This window comes from Homo sapiens, chromosome 11 (genome assembly GCF_000001405.40).
Source record: "Homo sapiens chromosome 11, GRCh38.p14 Primary Assembly".
NCBI lineage: Eukaryota > Metazoa > Chordata > Mammalia > Primates > Hominidae > Homo > Homo sapiens.
This window is the reverse complement of record NC_000011.10, coordinates 66,466,196-66,493,304: the sequence shown is the minus strand read 5'-3', so window position 1 is coordinate 66,493,304 and position 27,109 is coordinate 66,466,196. Positions and strand designations below refer to the sequence as shown.

Below are 27,109 nucleotides of genomic sequence, written 5' to 3'. Positions count from 1 at the left end.
TGGGAAGTGGCAGAGCCAGGACTGAAGCTATGTGCTTTCCTCTCTACTGCTCTGGGCTGTCTCTCTTCCTGAGTCTGCTGAGGAAGGTGAGGCCCAGCCCCGACCCTCCGACTGCTGGCGCCCACCTTGTCATCCTCCTCCAGAAAGGTAAGCTTCTCCCGCTGCGTGGCGTAGGCCACAGCCAGCACATTCCCCAGCGACACGTTCTTAAAGCCTTCCGTCTGCCTCAGATCATCGTCTGGAGAAGGTGGAGAAGGACCAGAAAGAAGAGGTGAGGGTCAAAGGTAACAGACAAGAGGCACAGAGCAGTTTGTGGAGGGTGTGTGTGTGGACAGGGAGGGGCGACTCTAAAGGAAGGTTTCTGGGGCTCGGGGGCTGGGCCTGAGACACTCACAGTTGGGGATGTTGATGCCGGCAGGGATGCCGGAGCCAGCGAAGGTGAGAACATCCAGGGAGGTGAAGTCAGGGGTGAGGAACTTGTCCTTCTCAAAGGTTGGGGGCCAGGGCAGCTCCTTCAGCAGCTGCTCTGCGCTCGCCACCAGCCGCTCAAACTTGGCACTCATGGCCTTGTTCACCACAGCTACGAAACCTGCAGAGGAGGGAGGGGGTTGTGGCTTGGCAGGGTTCCAGGAGGGCTCCCACTTCACCCTACTCCAGCCATCACGCATGTACTGAATGCCTACTGTATGCAGTCACCCTGGGCTGGAAGATGGGGATAGCAGTGACCCAGGCCTGGGCCCTACTGGGTCAGGACCTGGACAGGAAAGATGCAGCTGCACAAACCCGTCTCTCCCTCAGGCCCCTGGGCCGCCTGCCCCTTCTCCCTGGGCCTGGGTCATCCCTGAGCCCCAACAGGTGTGTGCTCTCCTCCCAGGCTAATCTCTCCAGCTTTAGCAGGCAGATGCTCAGACTCTTCTAAATCCAGGGGCTGGGGAGGATTAGGGCAGTCAGAGAAGTGGCTGAATCCTCAGGCTGGATGCCCTGCCTTGCACAGGTGGGTCCCCTGGGGAAGGGGGTGGGGGCCGCGGCAGCCTGCCACCAGCCTGGGATGACAGCCCCGGGTCAGGTCCACAGTCACAATGTCCATCCTGCTTCCAGCCACTGAGTGCAGCAGTCTGCATCCTAATCACATTGGTGCTCAGAGGTCTGGCTATTTGGCCCAAGATCACACAGCCTAGGAGTGGTAAAGCTGGGCTTGGGAGGCACATGGCTACCTGGAGCCTGTGCCCTGACCAGACACCAGAGGCAGCACAGCAAAATAGCTCAGAGCCAGGGTTCCTGGGCCACCCCCCAACTGTGCCCCAGTGCTCACATCTGCAAAGTGAAGATAAATATCCTCATGGGATGATGGACTCTAAATTAGTTAATATAGCTAAGCTTCTTACAACAGTGCCCAATACATTGTAAACGGTGTTTATTTACCATGGCTGTTCTTACTGTTATGGTTATGGCTGAGCGGGGGTGGGGAGAACCATCAGGGGACACTGGAAACGTGGACTTGGATGTGGGGGAAGGGACTGTGACTGACCTCCTCCCTGAGGAAGTTACCTTCAAATTCTCCTCGGGAACCAAAGGGGTCGCGGTAGCTCTCGATGAACCCGATGTAACTGGGGGAGAGAAGGGCAGAGGTGGAGGAGGGGCAGGCAGGAGGGGGCAGGTGGGGTGGAGCTGGCGCCTCACCTCTCCACGATGGGGCCTTTGTCCTGGATCCAGAAGCGGGAGCCCCTCTTGTGGGCCTCGATGGAGCCCTGGGTGAAGCTCTCTATATACTGGGCCAGCATCTGCCCCTGGTGGCTGTTGGCTGCATAGGCCTGAGGTGAGCGGGGGTCGGTCAGCCTCGGGCCACCCACCCACCTCCACACCCGCTCTGCTGCCCAGAGGGGTCCTCAGCCCGCACCCCTCAGCCCCCAGCCAGTCCAACCTTGGCTTTCTCCAGCTGCTCCACCACCTTCTGGAGGATGGGCGCGTAGTCCCCCCGGGTCACCTGGAAAGGGCTTCCCCGGAATTCATAGCTCTTCAGCTTGGAAGTCACCTCAGAGTCCAGGGAAGGCTCTGGGGAAAGAAGGTGTCATTCAAGAGAAAAGGCTGGAGTAAGAGGCCTCACTCAGAGAAAAGGCCTGAGTAAGACACCTCAGCCGGCTTTTCCCCATAGCACTCTTTCACTCTAAGATTTTCAATGGCTCCCTGTAGCCAACAGACATGAGCATAAACTCTCAACTTCAAAAAAATATATATCAGCCGGGCATGGTGGCTTACGCCTGTAATCCCAGCACTTTGGGAGGCTGAGACGGGCAGATCGCCTGAGGTCTGAAGTTCGTGACCAGTCTGGCCAACATGGTGAAACCCTGTCTCTACTCAAAATACAAAATTAGCTGGGCATGGTGGTAGGTGCCTGTCATGCCAGCTACTCGGGAGGCTGAGGCAAGAGAATCGCTTGAACCCGGGAGACAGTGGTTGCAGTGAGCTGAGATCGTGCTGCTGCACTCCAGCCTGGGCAACAGAGAAGAGACTCCATCTCAAAAAAAAAAAAAACAAAACAAAAAAAACAAAACAAAACCCCAAAACTAAAAAACAAAAATATATGTATCACATAACATGTGCTTTCCGTGTGTTAACTCCTTTAAGCCTGACTCCAACTCTGGGAGGAGGCGGACATTATCATTTCCATTTCACCGATGGGAAACTAAGGCACCGAGAGCTTAAGTGGATAGCAAGTGGCAGACTGGATTTAAAAAGACAGCCACATCCCAAATGTAATCGACAGTCCCATGGGGAGACAAGAGGGTGACTGGGAGGAGGAGCTGTGACGATAGCAGAGGGGAGCTGGAGTGAAGTTGGGGGGCTGGACAGCCTTCCAGAAGCTGGAAAAGGCAAGGAAGCAGGTTCTTCCTGAGACTCCAGAAGGAATGCGGCCCAGCCTTGCTTTTAGACTCTGGACCTCCACAACTGTAATAGAATAAGTTTGTGTTGTTTTGTGCCAGTAAATTTGTGGTAATTTGTTACAGAAGCAATGGGATGCTTACACACTACTGTATTTTCCTTGTTGTCTCTGATCAATAAAATATACTTCAAGGCTATGTAAAAACAAACAAACAAGCAAAAATAGCCACAGTATTTCCTGTCTTACTGCCTTTTTTTTTTTTTTTTTTTTTTTTTTTTAGATAGGATCTTGTAAGGTTGCCCAGTTGATCTCAGACTCCTGGGCTCAAGCGATCCTCCTGGCTCAGCCTCCTGAGTAGCTGGGATTACAGGTGTGAGCCATCATATCCAGCTCAACTGTGACTTTGCCCATGGAGATGTGGGATCTGTGTTCCCTCCTCCTGAAGCCAGGAAGGCTGTGACTTCAGCAGCAGGGACACCATGTGCTTAGGCCAGGTCACACAAGGTGAGCAGGCTTCTGCCTGGCTCTCCTGGGATGCTCACTCTTGGAGCCCAGCTACCACGAACAATAGGAGGGTGCCACATGAGGTATTTTAGTCAACAGCCCAGCTGGGTTCCAGCCGGCAGCCAGCACCTGCGTGTGAGTCAACAAGCCTGGGGATGCTTGCGGCCCCAAGCTGTCGTCTTCCCAGCTGAGGCCCCAGACATGGTCACCCAGCGACCGGCTGTTCCTACTGTGCTCCACCTGCATTCCTGACCCAGAGTCCATGAGCATGAAAAGGTGGTTTTGTATCACTAAATTTGCGGAGCATTTGTTCCACAGCAATAGATTATGACCCACTCGGGCAGTCCGGCTCCAGGGCCACATTCAACCACTGCCCGAAACTGCATCTTGTACTCTAAGTATAGGCCCAGCTTATGTTCCAGTGAGATCCACTCCTGTTCCTCTGAACCCACATCTGCCATCATCTCCCCAGTGGATGCTCGGATCCACCAAGCGCTAGGCACCAGGGAGACAACAGTGGATGAAACACACAGGCCCTCCTCTCGGGGAGCTTGTAGTCAGGGAAGCTACTGAATGTGCCGATGGGAAGAAAGAAGGGCACAGACTCAGTTATGGGAAGATAGGGAAAGGTCCTGGGGAAGGCAAGTCCATGCATGGCCTAGAGGATGGGGAGGAGGTGGCCAGGGGACAAGGAGAGGCTGGAGGGGGTTCCGCATGAGAAGCAGGGAATGGATTGTGCAAAGACCTGGACAGGGGCCAGGCGCGGTGGCTCACGCCTATAATCCAGCACACTGGGAGGCCGAGAGGCACGCGGATCACCTGAGGTCAGGAGTTCAGGACCAGCCTGGCCAAATGGCGAAATCTCATCTCTACTAAAAATACAAAAATTAGCCAGGTATGGTGATGGGCACCTGCAATCCCAGCTACTGGGGAGGCTGAGGCAGGAGAATTGCTTGAACCCGGGAGGCAGAGGTTGCGGTGAACCAAGGTCGCACCACTGCACTCTAGCCTGGGCACTCCAGCCTGGGCGATACAGCAAGACTCTGTCTCAAAAAACAAAAACAAAAAGACCTAGAGAGGGTCCATCAGAACTGGATGCTGTTGAGCATGGCCAGAGCACAGAGTCTGAGTGGGAGGATGTGGAGATGAAGCAGGGGCTGGGGTGCGAGTGGGGAACAAAGAGCCAGGTGGCAAAGGTCTTCATAAAGGCCTGGACACTTCTGTCCATACTATTTCCTCTCTCCTGGGAATGGACCCCAATTTCCCCTTGAGAATACCACCCCAGGCCCCACTACTACTACCCCAAGTGCAGGTGGTTTGGGAAGGGCCAGCCTCTTTTTTTTTTTTTTTTTTTCCTTGATCTGGAGCTTCGCTCTGTCACCCAGGTTGGAGTGCAGTGGTAAGATCTCGGCTCACTGCAACCTCTCCCTTCCAGGTTTAAGCGATTCTCCTGCCTCAGTCTCCCAAGTAGCTGGAATTACAGGCACACGCCACCACGCCCGGCTAATTTCTGTATTTTTAGTAGAGATGGGGTTTCACCATGTTGGCCAGGCTGGTCTCGAACTCCTGACCTTAGGTGATTCGCCCACCTTTGCCTCCCAAAGTGCTGGGATTACAGGTGTGAGCTGCCATGCCCGGCCTGAAGGGCCAACCTCATCGCCTGACTCCAGGGTAGGCTTGAGACCAGGTTGAGCCAATCAGAGACCTGTCCCTTGCCAGCCCTCAGGGATTGGTTCACAGACAAATAGGGGACTGATTTAGAGAAACTAGAGCCATTCCCAGGACTTATGTAGAAAATCCTGGGAGAGAAGGATGCTCTTTCTGAAGGAGTGGCAGAGTTGGTAGGACCTGAGCCACCCAGGTCCGGAAATGCCCAGGAGGGAGCAGAAGGGAAGCCTGGGGCTAAGCTCACCTGAGCCAAGCACAGAAGCCAGCCGCACCTCGTAGTAGGGCTTCCCTTCTCCATCGACCTCTTTGAAGAGCCGGGTGTTGTAGGCACTGAGGTTCTAGAAGAGACCAGGACAGGGGTTAAGAGTGAAGTCTGGAGAGGGCAGTGGGGTGGGAGGAAGGAAAATGGGTCAACCCTAGGGGAGAAGGCATGGAGGCAAAGCAGGCTGGGCCTTCTGGGTTGGCTGGGAGCAGGAGTGGGAGAGAGTGGGAGTGGGCAGCCCAGGGCCGACTCTCCTGCTCTGCTCAGGACACTGTGCACTTCTACTAAGCACTGACTGCAACCACTGTGCCAGGCACTGCACGGCCTCTGCGAACCCAGGGCTACTGGAGGTGGGTACCACTTCACAGACATGGAAACTGATCACATGGCTGGTGAGTGGCTGAGCTGGGAGCACCACTGACACATGGACCCCGGAGCCTCACACCCCTGTGGCCTGAGGTCCTGGTTCCTCGCCCTGCCCTGAGGCTGTCATTAGGCTCTATAGCCTGGGGTGGGCAGGGGTCGCGCCTTCCCTAGTACACAGGGAGTAGTCAAGCAGAGACCCAGGAGTGGTCACCAGTTGTGAGGGGGCTGGGACTAGGAACCCCACCAAACCTCTGCTACCTTGAGCTCCCCTAACCCCAAACCTGTGAGTCCAGAAAGTCCTGGGCCAATTTGGCATCTTCCATGGTACAATTCCCAGAGAAATAGGTGGTGATTCCCTGTTGGGGAAGACAGGGGACATGAGAAAGAGGAGTTGCCAAGGTCAGGGCTGCAGGGACGTCATATTCCCAGGCTTCCCGCCCCTCCCTCCTTTCAGCAGCCTCTACCCCTTACCCCTCCATCTACCTCCAGGGGAAAAAGTTATAAAACAAACAAACATGCTCATCTCCAGTGTTGCTGCAGCTCTGCCCAGGCCTCTCTCTGGCTGGCCCACCCCTAAGGCTTGCCAAGGTCCTCATCCCATGCAACGGATGTGGCCTCCAGAGGTGGGAAACCTGGGACCCCCCTCCTTCCCTGCCATCCCCTCCTCAGCTCCCTCCACCTCCAGCCTTCCTCTCCTTCCCTCCATCAGCACATGGCATCCTGTGTACAGAATGTCAGATCTGGGAGGGCATTCAGAAAGCATTCGACCCAACATGCTTACCATTCTACAGATGACAAAACTGAGGCCTGCAGTGGGGAGCAGCATTGCCTCAGGAGTGTGAGGCAGAGCCCACTGCCTCCCCATCCCGTGTCCTTCCCTCCTTACCAGGTGGCCTTGAAGGATTCCCTCCACTCCCTGTCCCCTCGGGGGAGTCAGGGGCCTCACCTCCTTCCCCAGTCCGAGGTGTCGAAGCCTTGGCTCCAGAGAGAACATAAGCTCCCCGCAGGTCTGCCAGAGGCCCCTGACTTCTTCTGGGTGCTGCTGAGCAGCCTCACTCCCTAGGATCACCCGTTCCAGCTTTTCCTGCAAGGAAAGGGAGGCCAATGGCCCAGTCACACCACCCAAACCTGCCTTCCAGAGCCTCCCTACCCACTCCCAAGCTCTTCTCCTATGATCTAAGAGCTCTGGCTCATTGTGTGGTCCATGGACCAGCAGCACTTGTAGGTCCTGAGAAATGTCAAGCGTCCATGTGTGGTGGCTCACACCTATAATCCCAGCACTTTGGGAGGCAGAGGAGGGAGAGATGCTTGAGGCCAGGAGTTCAAGACAAGCCTGGGCAACACAGAGAGACCCCATCTCTACAAAGAATAAAAAAAATTAGGCCAGACGCAGTGGCTCATGCCTGTAATCCTAGCATTTGGGGAGGCCAAAGCATGAGGATTGCTTGAGCCCAGGAGTTCAAGACCAGCTTGGGTAACACAGTGGGATTCTGTCTCTACAAAAAATTTTTAAAAATTAGCCAGGTGTCATGGTGACAGGCATCTGTGGTACCAGCTACTCTGGAAGCTGAGGAGGATCACCTGAGCCTAGGAAGTTGAGGTTGCAGTGAGCTGTGTCCGTGCCACTACCCTCCAGCCTGAGTGACAGAGTGAGACCCTATCTCAAAAAAAGAAAAGAAAAGAAAAGAAAAGAAAAGAAAAGAAAAGAAAATTTAGCTGGTGTGGTGCTGCATACCCATATTCCCAACTACTTGGGAGGCTAAGCCAGGAGGATCACTTGAGTCCAGGAGGTTGATGCTGAAGTGAGTCATGATCACACCACTACACTTCAGCTTGGGTGACAGAGCAAGACCCTGTCTCAAAGAAAAAATGTCAAATCTTGGGTCCACCACAGACCTGCTGAATCAGATGCTGCATGTCAGCATGACTGCCAGGTGACTTGTGTGCATATTGAAGTCCCGGCTCTTATACCTGCTATAAGAACCACCTCTGCCCGAGATAGGCTCAAGTCTCATAACCCTGGGAGGGATGCCCCCGGCCCAGCACTTCCCACTGTTCCTGGTGATGACCAACAAGCTCCATTTTTGAGAGCACCTAAAAGTTCACAGAACACTTCCACATCTCGCCCTTGTTCAGCCTGCGGATCAGCAGTCAGGGCGAGTGGTGCTTTTCCTTTATACACGAAGAGGCCGCAGCACCCAGTGAGGCTGGTGACACCCACAGTCATGCAGGGTGGAAGCGACAGGGTCCATGCTCTGCTCAGGGCTTCTGACACTCCAGTTGGGGCTCCTTCTACTGCATTTTCCATCTCTACCCCACCAGCCCCCCATCCCCACCTTCCCCAACCCTCCCTTGGCTCACCTTGGGCAAGTTGGGAACAAACTTGGTGTCACCAAAGGACTTGTAGTTGCCCATGTTGGAGTAAACACCCGCGGCATAGACCAGGAACGCCTGAGGGGGAGGCAGGCATCAGAGACCCAGGAAGCACAGCCTCCCTGACCCCAGCGACACCTCCTCCTGAGATGCGAATGCCCCAGCAGAGCCAGTGTGGGTGAGGCTGGGAAATGTGTGGGCAGGACCTAGGTCCTGGGAAGCCCCAGTCTGGCCCACACTCACTTCCACAGACCCATTTTCACACCCCCGTTGTCTGGCCTAACTGATCTTCTGGGCAGTTCCCAAACACACCCAAGCATTCGTCTGCCTTTTCCCTCCCCACCCCAGCACCCTCTCAGCCACCTGAAGCTACTGTGTCCTTTAAGGCCCAGTTCCAGCAGCACCTCCCTCTTTCTCCAGAGCCTGTCCTCAGCCTCTGACCTGTCAGGCAGCTGGCCTTGGAAGCATCACATGTTAGAGCCGGAGAGGCCTTAATCATCTGTCTATTCTATGGCTTCTGCTGGCCCCAGATCTTCCTCTGGTAACAAGACCTCAATCCTCCTTTTGTGGGTGGGAGGGTGGGGTGGGGGATCTCCCTTCCCCCAGCTCCAGGGGTGGGCATGTAACCTGGCTCAGTCAGTCTGAGAAACCACCATCCTTGGCTACAGGATGGACACAAGGCTCAAGCTGGCATAAGAGAGCTACCCAGGACATTTCCCATTGGCAAAGAGCCTCTGTACACCAGGGATCATCAGGCCTGGAACTCCTGGAGCTCCCCTCCAGGAGTAAGAAAAGCAAGCAAGCTGAGAGACGAAGACTGCATCCCAGTGGTAGCACTGAGTCCGAGTCCAGCCATGCCTGAAACTTCCTCTAGACCTGGACTTTTCAAGCATGTGACCCAACAATTCTCCTTTTCATGTAAGCCAATTTGAGCTGGGTTTCTGCCACTTGCAAACATATGAATTCCCCTAAATGGCCAGGCGTGGTGGCTCACACCTGTAATCCCAAGCACTCTGGGAGGCCGAGGCGGGCAGATCACGAGGTCAGGAGATTGAGACCATCCTGGCCAACATGGTGAAACCCCATCTCTACTAAAAATACAGAAATTAGCTGGGCGTGGTGGTGCATGCCTGTAATACCAGCTACTCAGGAGGCTGAGGCAGGAGAATCGCTTGAACCAGGGAGTTGGAGGTTGCAGTGAGCTGAGATTGTGCCACTGCACTCCGGCCTGGTGACAGAGCGAGACTCCGTCCCCCACAAAAAAAAAAAAGAATTTCCCTGAAAATAATAACGCTTGGGTTGCACCTTTCTGTTTATAAACATTTCCACGGATATTAGCTCTTTTAATGAGTAAGCCAAGGCCTCAAGATGGGAAGTGAATGCCCAAAGTTCAAAAGAGGTAGAATAAACAGTACATCAGCTCAGAGAGAAACAATCCAATCCCTTTATTTCACATATAGAAAAACAGGCCATATTCTTGTACATTCTTGGTGGGAATATAATGCAGTGAAGCTTTTTTAGAAGATGATTTAACAGAATCAGTCAATTGTAAATGTACAGAGCCTTTGACCCAGCAGTTCTTCTAGAAATAGATCCTCCTCACATGTGTGCACAAGTATGCTCACCATGGCACTGTTTGTAAGAAAAACGGGACAAGCTAAATGTCCAGTAATGAAGATTAAATTGATTATAGTGTACACTGCTGTGGAATGCTTTACAGTCAATAAAAAAGAATGAGGTACATTTAAATGTACCCCATTCTCCAAGTTCTTCAAGACATGGCATTCAATGGAAAAAGCAGGACACAAAGCAGGAAAAGAACATTATCTCATTTCTATAAAAAAGAAAATAAGGAACTGATTCACCATGCATATACACATAAATGTATGTAATACACAGATGGGATTGAAAAGGCTGTAACCAAGGCTGGGCACGATGGTTCACGCCTGTAATCCCAGCACTTTGGGAGGCTAAGGCAAGTGGATCACTTGAGGCCAGGAGTTCAAGACCAGACTGGGCAACATGGTGAAAACCCACCTGTACTAAAAATACAAAAATTAGCCCGGTGTGGTGGCACATACCTGTAGTTCCAGCTACTTGGGAGGCTGAGGCATGAGAAGTGCTTGAACCTGGGAGGTGGAGGTTTGCAGTGGGCCAACATTACGCCACTGCACTCCAGCCTGGGTGACAGAATGAGACTCTGTCACAAAAAAAAAATAAAAAATAAAAAAGAGAGAGAAAGAAAAGGCTGTATCAGCCTCAGTGGGTTACCTCTGAGGAGGGCACTGAGAATGAGTGATCTTTGTGTTTTCTTTTGTGTCTTTCTGCATTGCTGCAATGCACTAAGAATTTGTGTATTACTTGGCCAATACATCCAAAAACAAAAACCAAGGGACAGGCAGAACATTCTGCCCAGGGCCACACAGTGTGGTAGAGAAGAACTGGTCCTGAACTCAGACCTCCTGATACCTACTCTGGACTCCTTCTTCTGCCTTCCCTGAATCTCCACCACAGTTTCTTTTGTTATAATCACAGCAGCCATCATTTATCTTGAAGTCAGGCACTGTTCTAAGTGGGTCATCACAACACTAAGAGGTACAGACATCCCACATGCATATTTTACGGGTGAGAAGACTGAGGCTCCAGAGAGGGGAAGTGCCTGAATTTGTAACCTTTGGTCTAATCCTCCACCTACCCCTTGAAAGAGACAGACATTTGCATCCTGGTCTTTCACACCCAGAAGCCACTCAGGTAATGTGGGTTGGCCCAAGAGAACTGACCTGATACTCCTCCTCGGTAAGGCCTTCAGCCAGGGCATGTTGGCGCAGCTGGTCGGGGTCCTGGGCGCGGAAGAGGCGGCTGAGCAGAGCATAGATGTAGGGGGCCTCAGGGGAGGTCTGAAGCAGCACAGCCAGGCCTCCGTACCAGGCGGCACGGGACAGGTGGTAGGCATAGAGGCGCTCTGTGGGTGACAGCAGGCGGAAGGCCTCACGGCAGTCCAGGCTAGACACGCCGATGTCATTGGGCAGGATGTACTGGGTGTCCGCCATGGGCCCTGCTGAGAACCATCACTGTCATCACAGCTGTTGTTTACCCCATACCAATTGCATACCTGGCTCTGAACTCTTATGATCTCATTTAATCCTCCCAAAAGCCCATGTGGAAGGGAATACTATTGTACCCATTCACCAGATATGCTAACTGAGGCTTAGAGAAGGTGAGATGACTCACCCAAGGGGTCACAAAATACACTGGTGGACCATATTTGGTCTGTAGTCCCTAAACCTTAAAGATTGACTCTAAGGTCAGGCATGGTGGCTCACACCTGTAATCCCAGCACTTTGGGAGGCCGAGGTGTGTGGATCACCTGAGGTCAAGAGTTCAAGACCAGCCTGACCAACATGGTGAAACCTCCTTTCTACTAAAAATACAAAAATTAGCCAGGCTTGGTGCCAGGCACCTGTAATCTCAGCTACTGGGAAGGCTGAGGCAGGAGAATCACTTGAACCCAGGAGGTGGAGGCTGCAGTGAGCTGAGACCGCACCATTGCACTCCAGCCTGGGCAACAGAGTGAGACTCCACCTCAAAAAAAAAAAAATTGATTGACTCTAACTACCTAGTATTACAGATGGGGAAACTGAGGTTCAGAGAGGCTAAGAGCCTTGCCTAATCCCACAATGGAGACATCAGCAGCAGAGATCCTCATCTCTAGGCTCCCAGCCCAGGCCCCTCCCTGCTTCCTTGTTCAGTATTATTTTTTTAAGACGGAGTCTCACTTAGTTGCCCAGGCTGGAGTGCAGTGGCATGATCTTGACTCACTGCAACCTCCGCCTCCCGGGTTCAAGCGATTCTCCTGCCTCAGCCTCCAAAGTAGTTGGGACTACAGGCGTGCATCACCATGCCCAGCTAATTTTTTGTATTTTTGATAGAGACGGGGTCTCGCTATTTTGTCCAGGCTGGTCTCGAACTCCTGGCCTCAAGCGATCTGCTTGCCTTGGCCTCCCAAAGTGCTGGGATTACAGGCGTGAGCCACCGCGCCTGGCCTTTGTTCAGAATTCTTTACACTTTCCACTGTGCTCACAAGGATAAAGTGCCAGGCCGCCAGCTGGAAGGCTCAGCCTTTAGCCAGGACTCGGCCCCAGACTCCTAAAAGTCAAGTCCATTGCTTCACTTTTCTGTACCTCCGTTTCCTCCTCTATAAAAGAGAGAATAACCCCAATATTACCAGGTGGGTGCGCTAATCAGATGAAGTCGCCCTGGACGGAAAGTATCCACAGCAATAAATGATTTTGCTTGAAACTGTCCCATTCTCATCCCTCTAAATGCCTTTTCCTTGGCCCTCCATTCTCCTGCTCGCTCCCTGTGCTCCACCAGGGAAGCCACAGAAGTTCACAACCAGAAGAAAGCCCATTTTACAGATAGGGAAACTGAGGCTTGGAAAGGGCAACAATTTACTGAAGGTCTGACAGCCCCGTTGGAACCCGGGGATTCCCCAACCCGGGGCATTCTCCCCGCCACGCCCCGTCCCGGCTGGGACAGAGTGTCCAGCCTCCTCGCCCTGCCCCGGCCTCCAGAAGCCCCGCCCCAATAGCACAGCCTCGAGGTTCGGAAAGGGCTGTTAACTCTTTGCTCCCCGGAGCACTCCTTGGCCTCGAGGGCGGGGTGAATTTGGAGGGGGTACTGGAGAGTGGGCAGAAAGGGAACGATTTTGCGCTCAGTATGGATTCGCCTTGGTCCCCCGGGATGACACGCTTTGACCCCAAAAGCCCAGGCGCCGCGCCTCACCTGCAGCAGCTGCTCCGTTCGCAAACTCACTTCCTGCTTCCGGCTCCCCCATTCATTGGGGCTCTGCGAACCCCGCCCCCCTTGGCCAACTGCCTGGCCTCGGGGTCCGGATGGGCGTCAGTACCAGCCAATAGACGCGCCAAGACGAGCTTCTCGGCTCGCCCGCTCCCGCCCCCAGGCGCTACGGGGTGGCGCGCGGATTGGCCCTGCGGGCTCGGCCTTTTGTCAGCAGGCCGCACACGCGCCGGACCGGGTACCGCTGTGCCCGGCCTGGCCGCGGCCTAGTCCCGGCAGACGGGACTGACGAGGTCACCAAGCCCAGGCCGAGACGGCGCGGGTGTCAGGGACTTGGGAATCCCCCTCCCCCAGTCCCGATCCCGCTTTCCTTTGGGGTTTCACCTCAGAGGACCCGACAGCACTCTTGCAGGTGGGAACCTACACAATAGGAGTAATGTGGCTCCACCTTCCTCTCGGGACTCGGGACCTGGGGGTGGAGACTTGGAAGTTGCAAAGCTCTCGGTGCCGGGAATCGGGGCTACGGTTGAGTGGGATCGGGCCAGGGCTGAGGTGGTCCCACCCGTGTAGGGGCGCGGAGAAACGCCTCGACTGCTTCACTGTACCACCACCCACCCGCCACGGGCCTGGAAGGAGCCGCTAAACATTCCCGAGCCTCAGTTTCCTTAGCACAAACAGGCTGGTAGTTTCCTGGTGCTTGCCAGATGCCTGATGGATGAGAAAGCCTCCTGCGGCCCCGAAAGGGAGTCCAGAGCAGAGGCGGGCCCGCGGTCCACTTTTACAGGTCTGGACGGACTCACGGGACCACGGTCTGGGTGGGGCATGCGGAAGGGCCTAGGCCAAATGGGGAGTAGTGGTGAGGGCCCAGGGTCAGACTGGGGGGTGGAGTGAGGTTGTCTGGGAGTCTTGGCTTTATGAACCGGAAAACCAGGCTAATAATTGAATCCAATCCAAGGGATATTGTAAGTTGTGATGTGTTGACTGCAGTGCCGCTCCCTATAGTTGCGCAGGGTGAGGGGCGTTTGGGTACTGAAATCCCGCACGGTCTCCTTGCTACGCCCGTGTCTAGGCCAGACAGCCTCTGCTTACCATAGACACCAGTTTCTCATCCACAAAGGTGCCCAAGGCCCTGCTTGACACAACAGTGTTACAAGCTGTTAGCTTTGATGATTACTTGTTATATGGGGGAGTTCAACAAGTTGGTCGGTGTCCTTAGGAAAGTCACCCCTCTTCTTTCCTGTGCCTCCGTTTTCATTGTCTTTAAAATGGGTATAAAGTTGGCTGACAGGTGAAGTTGAAATGTGCACAGGTAAGGGAGGTAGTGCTGCCCACTGCCAGCAGGGGGCAGCTCAGGCAAGGAAAAGACCCCAGTGCTCTCAGGACCCCCCAACCAGCTACGTGATCACATTTTTATGATCACAGATAAGATGAGCATATACTGAGGTCCCTTGCTAGCAGTTTGGCATGGAGGACCTCATTTAATTCTTGCAAAAATCCTGAGGTATGATCACTTTACCCATTGTACAGATAGGGAAACTGAGGCTAAGAGGTTCGCCGACTCCTATAACACCACACAGTTCAGATATCCCTGGCCCCAACATAGAGATACACACACACAGTCACTCACATGGAGCAGTCTATCACTGGAGTCATAACTCCCCAGCCTTGGCTCTTCCCCATGGGAATGCAAAAGGGGTCGGTGAGGAGCAACAGTTACGAATCAACTGTGTTACAGGTGCTCTCTGTATATTCACAACCACCTGGCGAGGTAGTGACTGTTATCCCCTTTAGCACTGAGGAAACTGAGGCTCTAACAGCTGGCAAAGGCAGAGCTGGGACAAGACCAGGGCTCTGACCTCCTCCACCAATACCTCTGAATCCTCCCCAGCATCTACTGTGGTGCCCTTTGCTGGTCTTTCCTCCTAGGGTCTGAGGTTCCCCACTGGAAATGGGATCAGAATGTTCCCCTGCCTGGTTCCCAACAGGGTCAGAAGAGAGAACTTGGAAGAGTTGGATTTTGAGTGCTTTGTGTGTTGTGTGTATGTTGAGGGGAGAGAAGTTGGAATGCTCCCACACCTCCTGCAGCATCCCCACCCTCCCCTTCACCCCCACTGCAGCAGTGCCATGCTCTGGAAGCAAGAATCTGATCACACCCTCCTCCTTCTCTCATCACATTCGGGTGCCCTCTGTCTTCTCAATAACCCAGGTCTGATCTCCCTGGCCGCAACCAGCTGTGTGGCCTTGGTCAGGTCCATCCCTCCCCTTGGAATCTGTACTTCCCTAGGCTCTGTCATCTATTGGGGACGATGCCCAGGTCAGGCCTATACTCAGAGCCTTCTTCTCTTCATCTCCAGAACAGCCGTCTGCCTGTCTTCCTGGCTCGCTCCCTGCAGGAATGGTCTGGGGCAACCCCAGCAACACGCCCACCTGTGGCCAGGATGAATAGGAATCCAGTTCAGGCTTGGCTTCCATGGCAATCAAGGCCCACCAGGCCCCAGCAACCTTCCCTACCCCCCATTCCTTTTTGCTGCCCCCCTCCACACCAGGCATGTTCCCTGCCACACCATGCTGTTCCCCTCACCTGGGCTGCCCTCCCAACTCCTCTCTGCCTCTGGAGATGCTCTGCCATTCAAGACTTGGCTCAGGCTCCAGGTCCTCCCTGGGCCTTCTAGAGCCCCTGGTTCTCACTCCTCTGAACACTTCCAGCCTGGCTAATAGCCCACTGCATCCTGGCCTGGGGTACAGGTGGCCAGCACAGGTGTGGGGGCCAGCTTCCAACACAAGCACGGGTAGGTCCCTCTGCAGACCATGGGCTGCAAGAGGCCCGGCCTTGCCCACTGCAGGGGCCCTGCGCAGGGCTGGGCACGAAGCAGGTGGGTGTCCACCAATCTAGTATCCAAAACCCTGCTTGGTTCACCCCCACCTCTGTTGAAGGAAAGCAACACTGTGATGGAGAGGAGCAGCTGTGGATTCAAATCCTGGCTTGGCCACTTTCTAGTTGTGTGACTTGGTGCATCTGCCCTCATCTCCTCAGAGACAAAAATGGCAACACCTCCCTTCTTGGGTTACTATGAGGATTAAATAACAAAACCTCCAAGAAGCAGAGCCCGGTGTCTGGAGAGTGCTCAATGGACGTAGTTATTATTATCATCATCAGCACAGTGCGGGGCACATGGTGGGCATTCAGGGATGATGGCCCTTGTGTCACAGCCGACACTCTTGACCAGTGAGTCCTCTCTCCTCCCTTTGTTGACTCCTGACCGTCCACAAATGAGGTTCAGAATCCTCCATCCAGCATCTTCCCTGGTCACATGGTCCCAACCTTTTGCTCCACCCCCTTCTCTGTTCCCCCCGCAGTCCATGCTCCAGCCATCCTGACTCTGTCCCTGGATTTCTGGCTTACTGACACCTGAGCCTGTGCACAGGCCCTCCCTTCTGTATAGAGCACGCTTCCCATCTTGTGGACTTGCTTCCCATCTTGTGGACTCGGAGGGTTCCGAGCAGCCGTTGAGGCTGAGCTCCTATGACACCTCCTCCGTGAAGCCTCCCTCACTTTTCCATTACCAGTGAGGCCTGCCACAGCCTGATTTGTACTCTGATCCTGGCACGCATGAAGCCGTGTTGCCATTTGTTAACAGTCTGTCCTCCACTAGACTGTGAACTCCACCAGGGGGGGAACCAGGTCTGATTGCCTCTGTGTCCCCAGATACCACTTAGCACAGAGTCGAGCCCATAGTGGCTATCAGCAAGTGCTAGGCCCAGCCTGCCACCCACCCACCACTCACTTGGGGGCTGGAGGCATTGCACGCATGCGGGGCATGTGGGACTTGTGGGGGCAGCTGAGCAGCGAGGTTTATAGAGGAACCCAGGGCGGCAGCAGGAAGGATGAAGGATGAGTGTCTGAAACTGGGTTGGCAGGCTCAGGGCATAGCCAGCCTAAGCTGGGGGTCAAAGGCCCCTGGCCCCTTCACTCCCCCAGGGGCACACAGTGTCGGCGGCACGATGTGGGATGCCCCAGGAAGGGCAAGGCCATGGGGCTGGGCTTTCCTCCATCGACCCAGGACAGAGCTGGTGCTGAAGGCCCCATCAGCATGACTGGGGTGGAGATCTTGGGGACCTCCTTGGGGGGCCACAGTTGGGGGGAAGGGCACAGCCCATCCAACATGTCCATCTGGTGTGGCTGTGCCAGCAGGGAGTGTCCCACATGCAGAGCTCCCTCTGGGCTGCAGGAGGTGGGGACCTGGGTGGGCAGGTGGGCACAGCAGCAGGGGGCCCCAGGGAGCCTAATCCAGCGGGCCCTGGAAAATGAGGCGGACGCAGCCATGCTCGCCGGTAAGCCAGGCCCCGCAAAAGGGGCAGGCGGCATGGAAAGCATGGGTGCCGTGGGGCAGTGGTGTCTGGGCCCAGTAGCGGGCAGTCTTCTCAGAGCAGACGTGGCCGCAAGGTGCAAAGGCATGGCTAGGCGGCCCAGGGTCCAGGCAGAGGCCGGCCTCCTGGCCAAGCCATAGAGGCACATAAGGCCCCACAAGGCGGCAGAGAGGACATTCGCGCTCCTGGGGGCCCCGCTCCCGCCGGCAGCCCCAGCCGTGGTAGCCATGGACGTGCCCGCAGCGGACGTAGACCCAGGGCTGCTGTTTGTCGGGCGCTGTGCGGCCACGGGCTGGGCTGGGGAAGGCCAGAGTGCTGAGGCCCACGGGGCACTGGGGCCGCGCTGCATTTGCCTCCTGCCGCTGGGCCTCCAGTTGCTTCAGTGTGGGAGCCCGCAGCAGCCCCGCCGGTGTGCGCCACAGCAGTGTGGCCCCACACAGGTCGATGAGAGAGCCGTCCTGCAGCACGTTGGACTCGTTTTCCACCTGCCAGAGGCAGTAGAAGGGCCTTACTGCCCAAGAGGCCCCTGCTGAGCCGCGGGTCCATCCCACAGAGCCTCCCTGGAGAGGACACCCTGGCGGGCAGGGCAGGCAGGGCAGAGGAGCAAGGCAGGCTAGGAGGCCAAGTGGGCAGGCAGGTGCATCCCAGGCACATGCTGATCCCCCCTCCCAACGGGGCATGGGCCTTGGTTTCCCCATCTGTCTAATCAGGAAGTCTGACCCAGACAGGGTTTTTCTAAAATAAGATGTTTTCTGAAGTGCCCTCCTCCTGACAGAGGCAGGAAAGGCCTCTAATGAGGAATGCTGGGTACTTAGCTCAAAGCTAACGGGGAATGCTGGGTACTTAGCCCAAAGCAGCTGTCCCAGTAGTTACAGTTAAAAGCAAAAACTCAGGAGCTAGGCTGCCCAGGCTGAATTCTGGCCTCACCGTTGACTAACTGTGTCCCTTGTCGAGTAACTTAACCTCTCTCCATCTCAGTTTCCTCATCCTCAAGATGGACTGCACCTTCTGGCATCTCAAGTGGTTCTTGTGAAGATTAAATGAATCCATCAGGCCGGGTGCGGTGGCTCACGCCTGTAATCCCAGCACTTTGGGAGGCCGAGACGAGCGCATCACCTGAGGTCAGGAGTTCCAGACCAGCCTGGCCAACAAGGTGAAACCCCATCTCTACTAAAAATACAAAAAGTTAGCCAGGTGTGGTGGCTCATGCTTGTAGTCCCAGCTACGTGGGAGGCTGAGGCAGGCGAATCACTTGAACCCAGGAGGCGGAGGTTGCAGTGAGCCAAGATTGTGCCATTGCACTCCAGCCTGGGGGATAGAGTGAGACTCCATCTCAAAAAAAATAAATAAATAAATAAATAAATGGATCAATCAGTTTAAAAACTTAGAACAGTGCGTGGCAAATAGTGCTCAAGAAGAGTAGGCTTGTGAAACATTCACATGCATTGTTTTAACAAACAATGCTTCCCCAGACCTCCCCACAGAGTTGACGCTCTGGAAAGAAAAGCCAGGCTTTTCTCTGAGGTTTTGCATCTCCTTGGCCAATGTGCTCATGCCAGAGAAGAGCAGTGCATGGCCAGTTTGAGGAGCACGGCCATGTGACCTTGGACAGCCCCTGCCTCTCTCTAGGACTCACTCCCGGTCCCTAACCTCAGCTCTCTGATCTGTACCACAAGGAGCTGCCACTAACACCTGTGTCAGAACTACTGTAAGGACCCTTTCCTCCTGCGAGAGGAGAACAGTGCTAAACCTGTCTGAACGTGATAGACATGCTACAAACTGCCAACCCTTTAGGCTATAAACTGCTCACACATGGGCCAAGTGTCACTCTCATAAGAAGGTGTGATTTTTTTTAAGCTGCCAGCAGCCTTGAAGCCACCTGGGACTGCACAGTATGTCTGTGTGTGCCTTGATCGCATCACCCCCTGGACCTCCAGTGGTATGCATGCTATGCTTGGGGACCCTGGTCTGTCTGCCTGTCTGTGGGACAAGTGGCTCATGCTAAGAACCCCCTGGGCCTGGGATTCCCTGATATGGAGCCTGTTGGGGCTCCCTGGGGCAGAAGGACTGGAGATCATCTCCTGGCTTGGGCAGGGGGATGGGCAGCTTGTGAGGGCCTGGCAAGGATAGGGGTGGGGAATGGAGCGGGCCACCTACCAGCTTGCCCCGCTGCTGGGCTGAGCGGCTGTCCCGCAATGTGTACACATTCCCACAGACCGAGATCTCCCGCCAGACACCCGGGGCTGAGTCCTCGGAGAAGCCGCCTGCCGGGTGCATCACCAGGACTCCATTGGTGGTCAGTCCATCCATCAGGCCATCTGGGGTCCGCCATTTGGCCGCTCGCTCCTGGGACCACATGAGGGATCAGATCACATCCCCCAGGGGCCCCCCAGCAGGCCATGTGCCAGAGGCACTGCCCCCGCTACCTTCAAGTTCAGAGGCGGCCCAGAGAGGACTGGCATTGAAGCTGCATGACTTGAGCGTCTCTCTGGGCCTCACTTTGCTCATCAGTTAGGTGGGGTTGCTAACTGCCAGGACCACCATTTGGATTACTGTGGGCTGGTTCATCACCTCAAGATGCTGCACCTCCCAAGCCTACCCCTTGCCTCACAGATGAAGAGTTGGTCCCTTCCTGGGGCTCACTCACTCCAAGGAAGATGTTGCTAGAGGCATCGAAGCCAGCGGCATAGATGCGGGCAGTATAGGGTGGCCGGCGGTCACAGAGGATGCGGCAGGCATAGCGGGAGATGGTGCTCTGGGCAGAAGGGCCCTCGGCAGCCCCTCCTCCAGGGGACGTGTCTGTTACCACGAAGTCAATCATGTTCTCTGTGGAGCGGCCAATCTGTGAGGACAGGGAGAGCAAGCAGGGACTGTATGTACATAGGGGACTCTCATGGGCCTTCCCTCCCAGAGTACCAGCAGCTGCTCTGTATGCAAGGTCACCAAAAAAGGAGGCTGCCAGGCCCTGGAGAAGGGGCAGCACCAACTCCATAGGCCCTCTAGGCTCCCAGGTGGGGTCTCCAAGTCCAAGAAGCCGTGGCCTGGAGCAGCTTCTCCTTCTCTGTTGCCCCCACAGCACTAGGGATCGCCCCATTCAATAAATACAAGTTGATTTGCTGATATAATTATAAGAGGGTGCTCAAATGTTAGCAGCAGATAGTGACTTCTAAGTAACTATTTGCTATATGCCAGCCACCATGCTAAACATTTTATATGCAATGCCTAAGTTAATCTTCCCGTGGGGTGGGTACTATTATGGGCCTCATTTTACAGATGAGTAAACCAAGGCCCAGAGAACTTAAGTGATGCTTCCCCAAAGTCACCCAGTGGTAAGTGATGGAGCCAAAATCTGAACCCAGGCACTAGGCCTCTCACACCTGAACTCCTGAGCTGTGTGACCTCCCACAGTCTAGGAGTCTTGAATTTGATCCTTGATATAGCCACTGACTTGCTGTGTGACTCTGCAGTCAACAGCCCACACCGGGACATCCTGCTTCCTCGTCTGGAGAGAAGCAGCTTTCCCATGGCCTCCCAACCCGTAGCCTCACCTGAAATGCTTGCAGAGCCTAGAGGCCTGGTGGCCAGGAGGTGTGTGGAGAGGCCTGAGCATACCTGGAACATGTCTGTGTCGCTATCATGTGTATACTCCACTATGACCGAGTGGCTCCGGGACAGTGTATACGAGATGCTGTGCTGACCACGGTTACTCAGTGCCTGGTGGGGAGAAAAAAGTCACTTGCCAGGGTGTGCAGCCATGATAAGTGTATGCCTTGAGCAAGCACCTGGAGCTCAAGGCCCAGCAGCCACTCCCTGGGAAGGGGGCAGCTCCATCCTTCTCAGAGGGTGGACAGTGCAGCAGATGTTTCACATGATTTAAGCCCTACAGTCACCCTAAGGATGGGGTTATCAGGCTGGGTGCGGTGGCTCACGCCTGTAATCCCAGCATTTTGGGAGGCTGAGGTGGGCGGATCACTTGAGGTCAGGAGTTCAAGACTGGCCTGGCCAACATAGTGAAATCCCGTCTCTACTAAAAATACAAAAAAAAAAAAAAAAAAATTAGCTGGGTGTGGTGGTACACGCCTGTAGTCCCAGCTACTCGGGAGGCTGAGGCAGGAGAATGGCTTGAACCCGGGAGGCAGAGCTTGCAGTGAGCTGAGATCGCACCACTGTACTCCAGCCTGGGTGACAGAACGAGATTCCGTTTCAAAAATAAAAAGAATGGGGTTATTGTTCCATTTTAGAGTTGAAGAAACTGCAGGTCAGAGAGAAACTGGCCTAAAGGCACACAGCTGGAAATATCAGAGGCTGAATTCTAACCCAAATCCTCTAAAGTCAAAGGTTTTTCCTTTATCATTGCAGTATGACTGTCACCTCCCACTCTCTGAACCTTGGCTGCCTCTAAAATGGTGCAGCTCATTTCCACCCATTTCCATTTCCATTGGATGGAAATAAGCAGCACCATCTTAGAGGCAGCCAAGGTTCAGAGAGGTCCAGTGGTTAAGGCAACATTTTGCAAACTGTAAAGAACTGCGCACACTGCAAAGGATTTTTCATCACCATTCTCGGATGGCCCAATAAGCAGTGAGTGATGACACAAAGTGGGCTCCCCTGTTAAGGTGTGGGGGCTGTGGGCAGGTAGGACCTGGAAGGCCGAAGACCTGGGCCTTGGGCAGGGAGGGCAGGACCTCAGGTCTATGGGTCAGTTGCTTGCCTTGGAGACGAGCGGCGTGGAGATGTGGTGCATGACGTCTGGCTTCACCCCGTTGGCGTGCGACCGGCGGCTCAGTGCCAGGCGGCTTCGCCGGCGGCCCTTGTCCCCACTTGCCAGACAACCATTGTAGCTGTAGATGTCGGGGGTTAAGAAGAAGGGGTTGCAAGAGGAGAGAGAGAAAGAGAGAAAGTGAACCCCTGATGAGACTTGGAGGAAACTGCCAACTTCTAGGCAGATCCTACCTTAATAAACAAGCTCTACAAGCACCTGAAACTAGAAGACCCTACAATAACAAATTGGTACCTTGGGGAGTGGGAGGGGGGTGTCAGAGCAGTTTCAAAAGCACTTTCATTCAGTTAACCAAGTATTTCCTGGACACTTGAGCCATGCCTGGATGGGTGCTGTGCACTGGGGCGGTAGAGGTGATGCACCACGGGTCAGTTGTGGGCCCTCAGTGGAGGGGTTCCTCAGCTTCTCCAGGAACCTAGGTGCCACCTGCCACACCCAGGCACAAGCCAAGGATGCCATAAGCCTAGAGGAAGAAAAGGGAATTCTCGCCCTAGGATCAGGTTTCTGGGAGAGGGAACACCTCTACTGGGTTTTGAAGAACTAGAAAGGGTTCACCTGTAGTAAGCTGTCACTTATCACACCACTACTCAAAACCAAAATGGAAGGAAAAAATGACACACAATGCCAGTACCTCCATATGTCCATACATGTCAAATTTCCACCTGCCTTTCCAGCTCTTGTCTGGAGGGCATGGCTGTGAGAGGCACAGAGGAGGTGAGGCATAGCTCTCATCGCTGCCATGGGCTGCTGCCTCTGTGTTCCTGGCCTTCATGTTATCAATCACCTAATGGAATCTGTGCAGTGGCCTGCCAGGCAAGTGGCTTTCTGCCCATCTTACAAATGAGAGAAATCAAGGCTCAGGGAGGTAATGTGACTTGCCTCTGGCTAGTAGGTGAAAATGTCCAGATTTGAGCCCAGTCTCTCTGACTCCAGAAGCCCCTCTAGATGGAGGCTCACCCTAAGCAAAGGGCCCAAGGCTGGCAGGGTCTGATGAGATCAGGGAATGGTGGCTTTGGTGGTGAAGTATGTGGGGGAGATGACACTGGTGGGAGGGCTCTGAACTCCAGGCTGAGGACATTATTCAACAACCAGTGGGGTGCCAGGAAGGTCTGGGAACAGGAAGTGACAGGACAAAGAGCTGCCAAATACAGACAAGGCCACTTGAATCAGAATCTTCTAGTGAGTTTGTTAAAATCCAGATGAGGCCGGGCGCAGTGGCTCACACCTGTAATCCCAGCACTTTGGGAGACCGAGGCAGGCAGATCACTTGAGGTCAGGAGTTCAAGACCAGCCTGGCCAACATAATAAAACCCTGTCTCTACTGAAAATACAAAAACTAGCCAGGCATGCTGGTGGGTGCCTGTAATCCCAGCTACTCAGGAGGCTGAGGCAGGAAAATCACTTGAACCCAGGAGGTGGAGGTTGCAGTGAACTGATATCGTGCCACTGTACTCCAGCCTGGGTGACAGAGCAAGACTCTGTCTCAAAAAAAAAAAAACAAAAAAAAAAAACAGATTCCCTGGTCCCACCCACTGCGACTGTGATTCTGTAGGCTTGGAGAGGGCCTGTCAATGTGTATTTTCAGTGCCCTCCAGCCAGCTCTGATATGCAGCCAGTGTGGACTCTGCTCCCCAAGGGGGCTGACAGGAGGGTCCATACCCATGGGTCTGCAGCCTCCCACATTAGTGGCCTTGCCTTGGGCTGGAAAGCCAGTCCTGCCTTTGGGATATGAAGCAGCTGCTTTTCCAAGGCAGCTTCTCCCAAGGGAGACATCACTTTTGCCCTTGTGAGCTCTTCTCACACATGGGGGGCAGGTCTTGAGGTGGGACAGTTCAGGACACAGGCTTGGGACACAGATGGGCCTGGCTTAAATCTGGCTCTTCCACTTATCACATGACCTCTGTAAAATGGAGCTAATTTTTTAGGACCTACCTCGCAGGTTCATTTTGAGAACTAAATGAGACAAAGCATTTAAAAGCGCTTGGCACAGAGTTTGGCATATTTATAGGAAGCCCTTGATAAGTGTTCACTATTACTGCTTTTTTTTTTTTTAAAGCATGTGTCAACAAACAGCCATTAAAAAAAAATCTTAATGATAATATAGCTTATCAAATAGTTTCTTTAGGACTGATGGCAAAGAGAGGCCAAAAGGAGATCCAGATGGGGGAGGAGGAAGAGGGTCTGTCCCTGGGGAAAGATCTGAGTGGATGGTGCAGGGATCCTGGTCAGGCAAAGACCAGGAAGGGATGAGGTTGGCCAGGCCGCCAGATCACGTTGCTTCCTCTCTCCTGGCCTTGGCTTTCTCATCTGTAGTGTGAGGGTCAGCTGTGGCTTAGTGAAAGCGCACTAGACCTAGAGTAAGAAAGACCTGGGTCCAAATCCCAGCCCTGCCACTTACCAGCTGTGTGCCCTTGGGCCAGTCACTTCCCCTCTCTGAGCCTCGGTTTCCTCACCTCCTTCCTCACAGCATCTTTGTGAAGATTGAAATGAAATAATGTCCATGAAAGGGCTTGGCACAGGCCTGCCTCCCAGAACACTCGATATGTGCTAGGCGCTGTTCTATGTACTTTACAGAAATCACCTCATTCATTTCTTCCAACAACCCTCTGAGGAAGGGATTATTATCATCCCCATTTGCAAAACAGGGGAAACAGAGGCACAGGGAAGTTCAGCAACTTGCAGAGGCAGGATTTGAACCAAGCAGTTTTGCTGGAGAACCAGAGTTCTTCACCCCACACCACACACACTAGGTGCTTTAGGAAAGGCAGCTGGTGTTAACATTTTTCTCATCTGATCAGGAAGTTGGGTGGTTAGAGTTGTCACAGTACTTTGTGAAAAATGGGAAGATAAAATAATAATTATGAATTGAGGTGGGTTTGGTCAATTTTGTCTTTCAGCTAGGAAGGTGAGGAGGGACAAACAGCTGAAGGCCCTATGTGGGGGGAGGAGGGGTCGGGCCCTTGTTCTGGCTGCGTTGGGTGGGTGTCTGGTGCTTCACCCCTTCTAGGCCAGGGATGCTCACCCCAGGACGATGAGTTCACCATACTTGATGGGCTCCTCGCCTGGCTGCGCATCTTCACCGGGAGAGGAGAGAACGCAAGAGCCCTTGTTCCCCCGGTGCTGGAGGTCTGAGGTTCGGGGGGACCCCACTTCAGGGTTTCCTTCCAGCACCATTCTGGGCAGAGTGGGAGAGAAAAGAGCTTTGTAGGTTCCCACCCCAGCCCGGCTCAATTCCAGCTGCAGCCTGCTGCAGGGCCGCCTAGGCTAAGGCAAGGGTGACCTTTCACCGCCTCTACTGCTATGGCAACCACTTCCCCTCTGCCTCCTCTAAACTGCCCGAGGTTGCTGGGATACCAGGGAGGGGTGGCACAGTGAAGAGAGTCAGGATATTCAGTGGTGCCAAAGAGATGGACCAACTTGGGGTGGCCAGAGGCTGCTTTTTGGCCAAGATCCCAGTCTGGGATGTGCTTCAAAGCGGGGCACCCAATGAGTTGGGGGCCGTTACCCCTCATCTCAGACTCAGTTCCTGCTTATAGCTCTTAGCCTCTGGACCTCTGATTTAGCCTCTCTGACAGGTTCTTTGAATCTACCTGTCCATCTGAATCTTTCTTGCCCCTTTGAGGTCTAGGCCTCTGTCTGTCCATCTGCTTTCTCAATGACTCTCTGTCCTCCCAGCCGCTGTCCTTTTTGCCGTCTCTCTCCCCCCATTCCCCATCTCTGCCTGTCTGCCCGCCTCCGCCTCACCATCTGCCTCAGTCTCCCCATCTCGGCCTCCCCCTGCGGGTAGGCCAATAGACTCCTCCTGGGTGCGCGCTCTTCCCTCCCTCAGGTGTCTGTCTGCGTCCCCAGCCGCCCGGGTCTCAGGAGGCCTGCGGAGGCGGCGCTCCCCCCTCGAGCTCGGGCTGCAGCACAGCCGTCTCCCGCAGGCAGCCCGTTTGGAAAACATCCCCGCGCCAGAGGGACCGCGCCGGGGCAGGCCCGCGCCCTGCGCCCCGGGCGGGCAGAACGGGAACCGCGGCCCAGCACCTACGCAGGTCCACACCCGGCGGCCCCTCCGCACAACACGCGCGCGTGCACGGCCCCGCACGCCCCGGGCCCGGACGGCGCAGAGACCACCCGCACCCGCGACCGCAGGGACGCGCGGGCGCGCAGCAGCCACCGGCGCCCGCCCTCGGACCCACTCCCTCCACCACCCCCAGACACGCAAACACGCCCCCCGCGCCCGCCGGGGCCCGCCTGGCGCAGCCCCCGCCCCCTCCGCCCCGGCGGCCTCACCTGGCCACGCTCCGGGCCCCGCTGGGCGCCGCTCCCTCCCCGCCTAGCCCCTGCTCGGCCCCGGGCCGCTGCGGCGGGATGGGCCCGGCCCGCGGCGGCTCCGCGCTGCCTCGTCACGGGGACACCCAGGGCCGGGGGAGGGGGATGAGCGCGAACAGCCACGCTCCGCCCCCTGTCCGGAGGCCCCGCCCCATTTTCCCCGCCCCTAGGAGAGCTCCGCCTCGCTCCAGACTCCGCCTCTTGCGGCGATGCTCAGCCTTCGTAGGCGGAGCTCCGCCCCTTCGCAGGAGACCACGCCCTTCCCCTGGTACCGCCCTCTGACCAGGGAAGCCCCGCTCTCCACTCCGTCTGAGGGACTCCCTTGCCCCTCCTAGCCGGCTCAGGACTCCCCCGTAGTCTACACGACCCCTCCCCCATTTCAGACTCCCCAAACTCCGCCTCCATTTCCGGGGACTCCGGGGTTCTCCCAGAGACATGGGCGCCCCTCCCCACTGTCGGTCAGGGCCCTCACACGGCGCTGGAGGCCCCTTCCCTAGCCTTAGGCCCGGGACTACGCACCCCCAGCTCCGACACCCCGCCTACCATCTGGGGACGCCACGCAATTAGAGGAGAGGAGGAAAATGCTAAAGGCAAAGGGGGTGTGCGGCAGCGGTGGAGGCCGGGGAAAGCAGCTGCAGTTGACCAGAGTCGCAGACCTGTCTTCCAGCCCAGCTCGGGCACCCCCCATTCCCCTCCCCTCAGTCCCCTCCCCTCCGCCAGGATGCACACACCCCCCGCTGTGCTGCAAAGGAAAGAGAGTTTTGGGGGAGCACCGCCCCTTCTGGGCCTGGGG

General features: G+C 55.1%; 2 protein-coding genes and 1 long non-coding RNA gene across 10 annotated transcripts in view, besides 9 other annotated features; 1 reads left to right on the top strand and 2 right to left on the bottom strand.

The window, feature by feature from the left end:
* The window catches only part of DPP3 (dipeptidyl peptidase 3), a 29,224-nt gene extending 16,353 nt beyond the window's left edge, over positions 1 to 12,871 (bottom strand). The window contains exons 1-11 of one of the 3 annotated variants that reach the window (NM_130443.4): positions 12,840 to 12,871; positions 10,835 to 11,112; positions 8,043 to 8,132; positions 6,628 to 6,765; positions 5,963 to 6,037; positions 5,298 to 5,391; positions 1,922 to 2,052; positions 1,681 to 1,811; positions 1,549 to 1,607; positions 395 to 589; positions 126 to 238 (exon numbers count right to left, since the gene is read on the bottom strand). In NM_130443.4, coding sequence (NP_569710.2) covers positions 126 to 238; positions 395 to 589; positions 1,549 to 1,607; positions 1,681 to 1,811; positions 1,922 to 2,052; positions 5,298 to 5,391; positions 5,963 to 6,037; positions 6,628 to 6,765; positions 8,043 to 8,132; positions 10,835 to 11,104 — 1,296 coding nt within the window. In that variant the 5' untranslated portion in view covers positions 11,105 to 11,112; positions 12,840 to 12,871. The remainder of the gene's footprint in view (positions 1 to 125; positions 239 to 394; positions 590 to 1,548; positions 1,608 to 1,680; positions 1,812 to 1,921; positions 2,053 to 5,297; positions 5,392 to 5,962; positions 6,038 to 6,627; positions 6,766 to 8,042; positions 8,133 to 10,834; positions 11,113 to 12,839) is intronic. The other 2 variants (NM_005700.5, NM_001256670.2) reach the window with 2 other exon arrangements.
* Positions 1,436 to 2,386: an enhancer, noted in NCBI's record as "H3K27ac-H3K4me1 hESC enhancer chr11:66258390-66259340 (GRCh37/hg19 assembly coordinates)". NCBI's record gives its function as "activates a minimal SCP1, AML or CMV promoter by ChIP-STARR-seq in naive H9 embryonic stem cells {active_cell/tissue: H9 hESC(naive)}" and the evidence as "EXISTENCE:reporter gene assay evidence [ECO:0000049][PMID:30033119]".
* Positions 8,188 to 8,549: an enhancer, noted in NCBI's record as "Amplicon_11_11:66008803-66009164 (NCBI36/hg18 genome assembly) insert fragment". NCBI's record gives its function as "drives selective reporter gene expression in differentiated C2C12 myotubes {active_cell/tissue: C2C12}" and the evidence as "EXISTENCE:reporter gene assay evidence [ECO:0000049][PMID:22144875]".
* Positions 12,732 to 12,901: an enhancer, noted in NCBI's record as "active region_5045". NCBI's record gives its function as "activates an Ori minimal core promoter by ATAC-STARR-seq in GM12878 lymphoblastoid cells {active_cell/tissue: GM12878}" and the evidence as "EXISTENCE:reporter gene assay evidence [ECO:0000049][PMID:35858748]".
* Positions 13,042 to 13,091: a silencer, noted in NCBI's record as "silent region_3595". NCBI's record gives its function as "represses an Ori minimal core promoter by ATAC-STARR-seq in GM12878 lymphoblastoid cells {active_cell/tissue: GM12878}" and the evidence as "EXISTENCE:reporter gene assay evidence [ECO:0000049][PMID:35858748]".
* DPP3-DT (DPP3 divergent transcript) lies at positions 13,056 to 19,815 on the top strand. The gene is made up of 4 exons (NR_120586.1): positions 13,056 to 13,266; positions 18,201 to 18,375; positions 19,080 to 19,161; positions 19,438 to 19,815. It is a non-coding gene; the product is annotated as a DPP3 divergent transcript (long non-coding RNA).
* Positions 13,478 to 14,045: an enhancer, noted in NCBI's record as "H3K27ac hESC enhancer chr11:66246731-66247298 (GRCh37/hg19 assembly coordinates)". NCBI's record gives its function as "activates a minimal SCP1, AML or CMV promoter by ChIP-STARR-seq in primed H9 embryonic stem cells {active_cell/tissue: H9 hESC(primed)}" and the evidence as "EXISTENCE:reporter gene assay evidence [ECO:0000049][PMID:30033119]".
* Positions 14,984 to 15,577: an enhancer, noted in NCBI's record as "H3K4me1 hESC enhancer chr11:66245199-66245792 (GRCh37/hg19 assembly coordinates)". NCBI's record gives its function as "activates a minimal SCP1, AML or CMV promoter by ChIP-STARR-seq in naive H9 embryonic stem cells {active_cell/tissue: H9 hESC(naive)}" and the evidence as "EXISTENCE:reporter gene assay evidence [ECO:0000049][PMID:30033119]".
* On the bottom strand, positions 15,968 to 26,978 carry PELI3 (pellino E3 ubiquitin protein ligase family member 3). 6 transcript variants are annotated; one of them, NM_145065.3, is made up of 8 exons: positions 26,278 to 26,400; positions 25,025 to 25,177; positions 24,401 to 24,472; positions 21,934 to 22,063; positions 20,835 to 20,936; positions 19,870 to 20,064; positions 19,380 to 19,568; positions 15,968 to 17,707 (listed from the first exon to the last, which is right to left on the bottom strand). In NM_145065.3, the coding sequence occupies exons 2-8, from the start codon at positions 25,174 to 25,176 to the stop codon at positions 17,138 to 17,140; spliced, it is 1,410 nt and encodes a 469-aa protein (NP_659502.2). In that variant the 5' UTR covers position 25,177; positions 26,278 to 26,400; the 3' UTR covers positions 15,968 to 17,137. The 6 variants fall into 6 exon arrangements, with proteins under 6 accessions (NP_659502.2, XP_011543186.1, NP_001230064.1 ...); XM_011544884.3 differs by lacking the exon at positions 26,278 to 26,400 and adding an exon at positions 25,747 to 25,908; NM_001243135.2 differs by lacking the exons at positions 24,401 to 24,472; positions 26,278 to 26,400 and adding an exon at positions 26,860 to 26,978 and having other exon boundaries at positions 21,934 to 21,957; positions 25,036 to 25,177.
* Positions 16,215 to 17,035: an enhancer, noted in NCBI's record as "H3K27ac-H3K4me1 hESC enhancer chr11:66243741-66244561 (GRCh37/hg19 assembly coordinates)". NCBI's record gives its function as "activates a minimal SCP1, AML or CMV promoter by ChIP-STARR-seq in primed H9 embryonic stem cells {active_cell/tissue: H9 hESC(primed)}" and the evidence as "EXISTENCE:reporter gene assay evidence [ECO:0000049][PMID:30033119]".
* Positions 25,913 to 26,262: a silencer, noted in NCBI's record as "silent region_3594". NCBI's record gives its function as "represses an Ori minimal core promoter by ATAC-STARR-seq in GM12878 lymphoblastoid cells {active_cell/tissue: GM12878}" and the evidence as "EXISTENCE:reporter gene assay evidence [ECO:0000049][PMID:35858748]".
* Positions 26,273 to 26,482: a silencer, noted in NCBI's record as "silent region_3593". NCBI's record gives its function as "represses an Ori minimal core promoter by ATAC-STARR-seq in GM12878 lymphoblastoid cells {active_cell/tissue: GM12878}" and the evidence as "EXISTENCE:reporter gene assay evidence [ECO:0000049][PMID:35858748]".

Bases quoted from the DNA above. Each gene is read 5' to 3' on its own strand.
- PELI3 (NM_145065.3), bottom strand. From the start codon at position 25,176: ATGGTGCTGGAAGGAAACCCTGAAGTGGGGTCCCCCCGAACCTCAGAC. The intron at 24,473-25,024 runs GTGAGCATCCCT...ATCTTCACAAAG, and splicing joins GGTGAACTCATCGTCCTGGG to ATGCTGTGAGGAAGGAGGTG. The intron at 22,064-24,400 runs GTAAGTGGCAGG...CGACATCTACAG, and splicing joins GGCCCAAGGGCACACAGCTG to CTACAATGGTTGTCTGGCAA.